Here is a 10,774-nt window from a genome sequence, read left to right as displayed (position 1 = left end):
TTACTGCCTTTTGAAAGTTTCCTGGCAGCAATGTACATAGTAAAGGCCAGGCTGCTTGCAGCTATCCCCCTGAATTGGGGAGACAAGGCCAAGAACGTGAGATCCGTTGATAGACAGAGTTCCCAGAACCAAGGAACAGAAGAGATAGCTTCACTCAGAGAAAATTATATGTATCTGTAAAGCATCCTCATTAAGTATCAGAGCATCTATGAGTTGCAACAACCTGAGACCAGGGAAAGAACTACCCAGAAATGTGAAAGGTAATAGTGTTGGCACTTATAGAGAGCTGGAAATAGTGCTTTTTCCCAATAGCCATACTGGAAAACTTTACAATTCATGGAACACTGGGTACAATACACAGGGGAATAGCCCTAGACTGAGCACTGATACATTCCCACATAAGAAATGGTAAAAGTAAGACCTGGAAGGACATATGTAAGCATTTCCACATTCCATAACTGTGTCCCAGAACAAGATTTAACAATATTTACAAGAATATAGAAGTAGCCAGCACATACATAGTAAAATTTACAATGTCTGACATACAATAAAAGGTTATTAGGCATATTAGACATGCAAATAAGTAGAAAATATGACTATAACGAGAAGATAAGTAAATTAATTGACACTGACCCAGAAAGCACACAGGTGTTAGAATTAGTAGAAAAGAAGATTAAGATGATTTTCATAACTATTTTATATGTGCCAAAAAATAAGTGGAAACAAAGAAGTTATAAAAAAAGAGAAGTCAAGGGCGGGCGCGGTGGCTCACGCCTGTAATCCCAGCACTTTGGGAGGCCGAGGCAGGTGTATCATGAGGTCAGAAGGTCGAGACCATCCTGGCTAACAGTGAAACTCCGTCTCTACTAAAAATACAAAAAATTAGCCAGGCATGGTGGCGGGCACCTGTAGTCCCAGCTACTCGGGAGGCTGAGGCTGGAGAATGGCGTGAACCCGGGAGGCGGAGCTTGCAGTGAGCCGAGATTGCGCCACTGCACTCCAGCCTGGGTGACAGAGCCAGACTCCGTCTCAAAAAAAAAAAAAAAAAAAAAAAAGTCCAATTTCTAGAGATTAAAATTATAATTTCTATGAAGAAATATACACTGAATGGGAGTTATGGAAGATACAATATTGCAGAAATATAAATAGTGAATTTGAAGGTATAGCAATAACAATCATAAAAAACGAAACAAATATAAAATTAAAATGAAAGAAAAGATAATCTATGAGTTGTGAGATAGGTTCAAATGACCTAATGTACATGTAGTTACAATTCTGAAAATGCAGACAGACAAGAGAAAACTGGCTTCAAAAACATGATGAATGAATAATCTCGAAATTAGTTTAAAATAAAAATAGATCCTAAAATCTCAATAAGCCCCCAGCACTAAGCCCCACAGTAATTGAATTGCTCAAAACCAGTGATAAAACAAAATACTTAAAGGTACACATTATGGGCCGATGTAGTGGTTCAAACCTGTAATCCCAGCGCTTTGTGAGGCCGAGGCAGGCAGATTACTCGAGGTCAGGAGTGCGAGACCAGACTGGTCAACATGTTCCCTGTCTCTCCTAAAAATACAAAAATTAACCAGCCTTGGTGGTGTGCACCTGTAATCCCAGCTACTGGGGAGGCTGAGGCAGGAGAATCGCTTGAACCTGGGAGGTGGAAGTTGCAGTGAGCCAAGTTCACACCACTGCACTCCAGCTTGGGTGACAAAGCAGGATTCTGTCTCAAGTTAAAAGGAAGGGAGGGAGGGAGGGAGGAAGGAAGGAAGGTAGGAAGGGGAAGGGAAAGGGAAGGGAAGGGAAAGGAAAGGAAAGAAAGAGGGAGGGAGGGAGGGAAGAAAAAAGAAAGAAAGGAAAGAGAGAGAGAGAAAGAAAAAGAAAAAAGAGAAAGAGAAAGGTAAAAATGGACAGCAGAAACTTTGTTGGAAATAAGATAAGCAAGAAGATAGTGAAGCGACATATTTAAAGTGCTAAAAGAATAAAACTATCAACTTAGAATTCTTTTCCCAGCAATCATATCTATGAAGATAGAGATGAAATCAATACTTTTTCTGACACACTAAAGAAAAATTAATTAATCACTAACAGACCCACATTTCAAGAAAGGTTAAAAAGTTATCCTTCAGACAGTAGAAAAATCATTTAATCTAAAAATCTACATTTACGCAAAAGAACGAAGAGTAACTACAAAAGTAAATATATAAGATATTTTCTATTATTTTAATCTCTTTAAAAGATAATTGAGTGTTTTTACAAAAATAATTTAGTGGGGATGTTTATTTACATATATAACAGCAAATTCTGTGACTGTAACAGCACAAATTTCAGGAGAAATGAAAGGGGACTTCAACAAGTTTGTGAAAAATTAAATGAAAAGAGAAAATAAAATACATAAACTTTACTTCTCAATACAAGCTCTATCACGGTCAAGACACTTTTGTAAGTTATAATACTAGCCATTTAGTCCATCCCTAGAGAACTGAGGGTACTAGGAATTTAATCATGTCAACATAGTATTTTTTATTTTATACACTGAAAATAAATGGGTGGCCTTTAAAGAATTTTTTAAGATTAGGAAACAAAACGATGTCAGAAGGAGCCAAATCAGGACTGTGAGGTGAGCGCCTACTGGTTTTCCTTTAAAACTGTCACAAAACTGCCCCTTTGATGAGCCAGGAGCATTGTTGCAATGGAGAAGGGTTCTCTAGTAAAATTTTCTCAGGTGCTTTTCTGTTAAAGGTTTGGCCAACTTTCTCAAAACACTCTCATAATAAGCAGATGTCATTGTTCTTTGGCCCTCCAGAAGTTCAACAAGTGACATACCTTGAGCATCCCAATAAACTGTTGCCATGATCTTTGCTCTTGACCATGTCACTTTTGCTTTGACTGGACCACTTCCACATCTTGATTTCCATTGCTTTGACTGTGCTTTGTCTTCATGATTGTACTAGTAAAGGTATATTTCATCTCTTGTTACAATACTTTGAATTAATTCTTCAGGATCTTGATCCCATGTATTTAAAATTTCCATTGAAAGCTCTCCTTTTGTCTGTGGCTCATCTAGGTGCAATGGTTTTGGCACCCATTGGGTAGAAAGTTTGCTCAACTATAATTTTACAGTCAAAATTGTGTACACTGAACTAATTGAGATATCTACGGTGTGAGCTATTGTTTGTGCTGTTAACCTTCAGTCTTCTTCAATTAGGGCATGATTAAATTGAACTTTTTCTTTGAAAATGGATGTGGATTGTCTGCTTCTGTAGACTGCATTTTCAACATTGTCTCATCCCTTCTTAAAATGAATTATCCATTTCTTTGGAGCATTGTTGCAACATAAAATTTTAATAAAGCATCAGTAATTTCACCATTTTTCATCCCAAGCTTCACTATAAAATTGGTGTTTGTTTTTGCTTCAATTTTAGTAGAATTCACATTGCTTAGGTAGGAGCTCTTTTTACACTGATGTCTTCTTATGACCTCAAGTTAGATCTTGTGTAGACACATTACAAAAGGAAGTATGAGTTTATTTTGGTACAAAAAATTTTAAATCCATGCATAGTTTTTTATAATATGTTCTTTTCATGAACTTTCTGAAGACCCCCCAATATACTATGATAAGTTTCTTATATTATGCATGAAGTGATATTATATTACTCTAAGATATATTTTGAAAGGCTATGATGGAGGCTATAAACCCTAAAGCAACCACTAAGTTAATTAAACAAGGAATTGCAGCTAATAAACCAAAAAAGGAGATAAAATAGAGTCATAAAAATTTGAAATCATTCAAAGAAGGCAGGTAAAGATTAAAGAAACCATAGGACAAATAAAAAGCTAGAAATAAAATGATAGCCCTAAAACTAATCACACAACTAAATGCAAATAGCAAATATCCCATTAGATTTTTTTTAAAAACCTGCAAGACCCACCAACATGCTAGCTGAAAGAAATTATCTTTAAAAAGACAAAATTAGGTTACAACTAAAAGAATGGAAAGAGATATACCATGCTAATATTTATCAAAATAAAGTTGGATATCATATTATATAATAGTAATATTTGACAGTATATTTTGGAGCAAATATGTTACTATGGACAAAGATGATCATTTAATAATTATAAAGGAGGCAGGCCTTCAAGAGACTATAACAACCTTAAATATTTATGTACCTAATAACAGAGATTTAAAATGCACAAGTCACAAACCGATAAAACTGCAAAGAGAAATAGACAAATGCACAGTCAGATATTGCAGTATATATCTCTCAGTAATTGATAAGAAAAATACACAGAACATCTGTAAGGATTAAGATTTAGACAACACTTTCATTTGCCTTGACCTAAATGACATTTATGGAACAATCTTTTCTAAAACATGAAGGGGTGATACCCAACAAACTCCAAGACAAAATATCTAATGAAGACCAAAAAAAAAAAATACAATTTTGAATTATTCAAGCCTCTTCCAGCATTAACTTTTACATGCCTGTACTCCTGAAGTAGTCTCTTACTTGGACTCTCTGGGCTTTTCTCATTTGAATCCTTCTTTTGCATCTCTCTCCAAAGATTATCTTCTAACGTCTTTGGTTTTTCAGTTCTCTCTCCGCATACACTGAAGAGATTTGTTCTAGAGCCAGGTGCTGGAAGTTCCATTCATCTACATTACTCAAGGGTCTGACTATATTCCTCATGGACTTCCAACATTACTCCTCTGGTCCTACCAGATTCTGCCATATTCTAAGTAAATTATGTTAATCCTTGAGAGCCAAGACCTTTTCCCCAATTCTTCTTTTCACACTCCTCTTCTCATCACCTCCATGAAATCTTTAATTCTAAAATAGCATCTGTGTACATTTAAGTCCATTCCACATGATTTATATTGAAGTAAAATAATCACATTCCATTTCCCATGACCAAGATATAAGAAATCTGATTTCGAGGGAAAAGTGTTTGAGTAAATATAGTTCAAAAGCTTACTAAGTATAAAAGAAAAATAAATAAGAACTTTGAATACTTCTTACCTGGGATTTGAGGATGCTGTAAAGTGAGATCAATTATTCAAAATTAGTATGTTAACCTAGGAATACAGCTAACGAGGGATGTGAAGGACCTCTTCAAGGAAAACTGCAAACCACTGCTCAAGGAAATAAGAGAGGACACAAACAAATGGAAAAATATTCCATCCTCATGGATAGGAAGAATCAGTATCTTGAAAATGGCCACACTGCCCAAAGTAATTTACAGATTCAAAGCTATTCCTATCAAACTACCATTGACATTCTTCACAGAATTAGAAAAAAACTATTTTAAATTTCTTGTGGAATCAAAGAAGACCCCATATAGCCAAGACAATCCTATGCAAAAAGAACAAAGCTGGAGGCATCACGCTACCTGACTTCAAACTATACTACAAGGCTGCAGTAACCAAAACAGGATGATGCTGGTACCAAACAGACATATAGACCAATGTAGCAGAACAGAGACCTCAGAAATAACACCACACATCTACATCCATCTGATCTTTGACAAACCTGACAGAAATAAGCAATAGGGAAAGGAACTCCTATTAAGTAAATGGTGCTGGGAAAAATTGCTAGCATTATGCAGAAAACTGAAACTGGACCCATTCCTTACATCTTATACAAAAATTAACTCAAGATGGATTAAAGACTTAAATGTAAAACCCAAAACCATAAAAACTCTAGAAGAAAACCTAGGCAATACCATTCAGCACATAGGCATGGGCAAAGACTTCATGACAAAAACACCAAAAGCAATCGCAACAAAAGCCAAAATTAATAAATGGGATCTAATTAAACTATAGAGCTTCTGCACAGCAAAAGAAGCTATCATCAGAGTGAACAGGCAACCTACAGAATGGGAGAAGATTTTTGCAATCTACCCATCTGACAAAAGTCTAATATCCAGAATTTACAAGGAACTTAAACATATTTACAAGAAAAAAACAACCTTATCAAAAAGTGGGCAAAGAATATGAACAGACATTTCTCAAAAGATGACATTTATGTGGCCAACAAACATATGAACAAAAGTTCAACATCACTGATCCTTAGAGAAATGCAAATCAAAACCACAATGAGATACCATCTCATGCCAGTCAGAATGGCGATTATTAAAATGTCTAGAAACAATAGATGCTGGCGAGGCTGTGGAGAAATAAGAACACTTTTACACTATTGGTGAGAATGTAAATTCGTTCAACCATTGTGGAAGACAGTACGGTGATTCCTCAAGGATCTAGAAGCAGAAATATCATTTGACCCAGCAATCCCATTACTGGGTATATACACAGAGGAATATAAATCATTCTACCATAAAGACACATGCACACGTATGTTTATTGCAGCACTATTTATAATAGCAAAGTCATGGAACCAAGTCAAATGCCCATCAATGATAGGCAGGATAAAGAAAATGTGGCACATATACACCATGGAATACTATGGAGCCATAGAAAGGGACAAGATTATGTCCTTTGCAGGGACTTGGATGAAGCTGGAAGCCATCATCCTCAGCAAACTAACACAGGAACAGAAAAGCAAACACCGCATGTTCTCACTCATAAGTGGAAGTTGAACATTGAGAACACATGGTCACAGAGAGGGGAACAACACACACCAGGGCCTGTTGTGGGGTGGGAGTTGAGGGGAGGTAACTTAATGGATGGGTCAATAGATGCAGCAAACCACCTTGGCACATGTATATCTATGTAACAAACCTGCACGTTCTGCACATGTATCCCATTTTTGTTTTTAGAAGAAATTAAAAAATAATAATAATAAAACCCAAAATTAGTATGTTAGAGACATACCCAGTGGTCATGATATTCTGACAGACATTTACATAGGTGTGTACATTTGTGTGCGTATATGCATATGTATATATTAGATAAATCCAAGTTCTGTTGTACATAGACTATAAGTACTTGTGTGAGTCATTTAACTTCCCTGATCCACAGTTACTACAGCTATAAAATGAGCATAACTCCTGCGATGCTGCCCTCATGGGATTGTTATGAGAGATATAACAGAAATAGGACATGAACGGTCTTTGAAAATATGCTCTTTTTTACATGCATGAGAGATTTTTATTGTGTGTATATTTGAAATATAATGAAAGTAATAAGGTAGTGAATTTCAAAATTTTATTTGTAAAACTTAGATATCAAACTAGATGATAATTAATCAAAATGTTCCCAATCTGTCAGTGGTTTATATGAGAGTATTTAGGTTCCTATCCTGGTTATACCTTTTATTGTTTTTGTATTTCACTACCAATTATTGTTTATCGATTTTAAGCTAGTTACTTAACTTCTCTGAACCTTAGTTTCAACATGAGTTGAAGGTAATAAAAATATCTGGTTCAAGAATATTTGTGAGAATTAAATGAGATAATGTAAGAATCACCCCTACAGGATATACACAACTTAATGGGCTTCATATGTAGATATATAGACAAAGGCACAGAGCATGTGGAAATGTAAATTATCTAGCACATTTTCTTGATCATATTAGACCCTTAATTCATTTTGTAATACTATGGTTCTCACTGTTGCCCCCAAGAAACATTTGCCAATATATGGAGATATTTTTGTATCACAGGCAGGGGCAGAAGGGTGCTAGTGGCATCTAGTGGGTAGAGGTTAAAGATGCTGCTAAAAATGCTACAATGCACAGGATAGCCCCTTGCAACAAATTATTCAGCCCAAAATATCAATAGTGCAGAGGTTGAGAAATCCCATTGCAACGAATAAATAAAGCAGCTATGCAAGCTTCTGTTCCCCATATATGTACAGCTTCTAACAAATGAAAAATTTATGTATGCAGAGAGAGAGAAAGAGAGGGAGAAAGAGAGGGAGAGAAAGTAAAGTAGAAGCATACGTTTTGTTATTTACTTTGTCTCTTTTGTTTGCTTATATTTTTTTGGTGGGCTATTCTTTAGTTTTGTCATGGTTAGTGGTCAGCAGGGTCCAATAAAGCAGCCACATCTTATGCAGAAGCTGTGACTACTGTCGTAATAAAACTGGAACATTGTGCCCAGCATGGTGACATTATTCCTGATTCATTTTCCCCTGTATCTTTTTTCTTGGAAGATACTTAAATTATTTCTTAGAGACTTTCTGTTCTGCCTCCATAAACTAAATCAAAATATAGGCTGGTTTGGGGTAGAGATAGGCAGCCTTCTCAGTTTTGAATTCTATTCCTAAAGACACTAGCAGGATTACAACTTTCGACTCTGATTGGTAGGATCATTAATATCCTTTGTAGGCTAATTTCATCAAAATTAAGAAATTAAAATGAAAAACAACCCTGAAAATGTATCACAAATTCTCGTATTCCACATCTAGACGAATAACAATTTCTGGTTGCGTGAGATAGATACCAGATTGTCAATGATAATCCCAGATTCTAAATCCTGTGCACACGACCCATGAAGAGATGCCTGATCTCATTATAAATCAGGTTATTGCTCCTCCGACGAGAATTCATTCAGGTGTGGCAGCACAAATGAACAGAGGTTCAAAGTCACGAAGACAAGTGACAACGCTGCATTTTTAGGGCAATAAACATTACACGAATGGCATGAGAACAGGTATCTAGATGAAAACAGTGGAAGCGTGATCCTGGAAAGAAAGCAGGAAGGTTATTTTATGTCATGTTTTCGTCAGGGAAGTCATCTGGCTATCTTATTATATTTTATGGCAGCAGTAGGGATAGAGAAAAGATTGATTAGCCATGAGGTGGGAACTCACAGTGTTTGTCAAGCATAGTTAATTATTAATAATACTTGGGTGGCTACTTAAGATGAAACGATGGACTTCCCATTGTTCTTAGAGTAAAAGCCAAAATCCTTTATATGATTTGCAAGGGTAGCTTTCTTTCAATGCTGTGCATCTTGCCCTCCACAACTAGGGCCTTTTCTTAAGCTCTTCTTTCAGGCAAAGTATTCATGAAATAAGCTCCTATTTATTCTTCAGATTGTGGCTTAGAATCTACCTGAACATCTTCTCTGATTCCTAAAAATAGTATACGTATCTCTCCTTTATATTACCTATTAAATTTTAATACTATATTAATCAATGCAGTAATTTGGTGAATCACCTACATGTTATATAATAAAGGCAGAGGCTACAACAATCTTAGCTGATCAGTTTATCACCAATGTCTATACATAGTACCTGCTCTTTATTGGGCCCTCAGTAAATACATTTGAAATAAAGAAATAAATAAGTGAATGAACATATGAGTCTACACACCCTTTGTGTTTTCTCAGGCCATTCTAGGCACAGAAAAATATGACAAAATGTGTAAACTGTATTTTTGTGGAAGTATCTCACAAGCTAGTAGGGGCTCTGATATGTGAACATACAAAGCAAAAATAAATATGAAAATAAATAGATATAAGAACAGTGAAGCAGGAGTATGTATAGATATTTGCACCCCTCATCCCCCAGGGAGCAAGGTGTGCATCATCTTCTACCAATTTCAATTTGTGTATCACATTCCAATAAAACCATTCTTCTGTTGTTATTTTTCTTTCAAACAGAACAAATTTGGTTCATTTTAGATCTTTCGTATTCCTATATCACGCTTTTGAAATCTCTGTCTCTCCCACTCTAGCTCCCTTCACTCATTCAGTTCAAGAAAAGGTTCCTAAAAGTTGCCTCCCTAGGCCAGGCACGGTGGCTGACACCTGTAATCCCAGCACTTTGGGAGGCTGAGGCGGGCAGATAACGAGGTCGGGAGTTTGAGACCGGCCTGATCAACATGGTGAAACCCCGTCTCTACTAAAAATACAAAAAATTAGCCGGGCATGGTGGCGCGTGCCTGTAATCCCAGCTACTCAGGAGGCTGAGGAAGGAGAATTGCTTGGACCTGGGAGGTGGTGGTTGCAGTGGGCCGAGATCACGCCACTGCACTCCAGCCTGAGCAACAGAGCGAGACTCCGTCTCAAAAAAAAAAAAAGTTGCCTCCCTAACAACCAAGTTTATGACACTCATCCCTTTTCCCTGGCATTTTTACATTATAACCTTGGTTTTATTATTGTACTCAATATTATCTTAAAATACATTCTTACTTATTTGTTAATTTTTAATTTTTCTAGCCTTTAAGATATAAATGCCATGGGAGAAAAAAAAAGCTTTTTTGTGTGTCTTTTTTTTTTTTTTTTTTGGCATTTTTCTTCCTGACATCTCAAAGAGAGCCAAGGACCTAGAAAACACCCTCAAATATTTTTCGACTGAGTATATGGATTGAGAAAAGATGAATGCATAAGTTAGGAAACTATAGAAATTCTAAAATTTAGATTTGATCTTGCAGGGTGAAAATGGTTTCCTATTCAAAAAGAGAGAGCTAAATCTGAAGCAGAAAAAAAAAGATATACACTGAGTCACTGAGGCATAAAGGAAGTTATGATATATTAGAGGATTGTTGTTGTTGTTGTTGTTAAGCAGGGAAGCATCCCACTTGTCTTGATCAGGGGCCAGAGACAAGGCTACACAAGTAGAAAGGTGAGGGTAGGGCAGATTATGGAAAAACCTCAAAGTTAATGAATGTATCTTCTCTTCTCTAAGCAATAGGAAGTCACAGAAGGCATTTAGACTGCTAAATGAAATGATGCATTTTGCATTTTAGGAAGATCAATTCAGCAGTTGGATGGAAATGAAATGGAGGAGAAGGTGGCTGCTAGCCAAGACACCAGCTAGAAGACTGTTGCCAAAGTCTAGGGCATATTTCTAAAGTGCCTC

The sequence above is a fragment of the Homo sapiens genome, chromosome 16, assembly GCF_000001405.40.
Source record: "Homo sapiens chromosome 16, GRCh38.p14 Primary Assembly".
Lineage (NCBI taxonomy): Eukaryota > Metazoa > Chordata > Mammalia > Primates > Hominidae > Homo > Homo sapiens.
The sequence above is the reverse complement of the archived record's forward strand: the minus strand, read 5'-3'. Positions refer to the sequence as shown.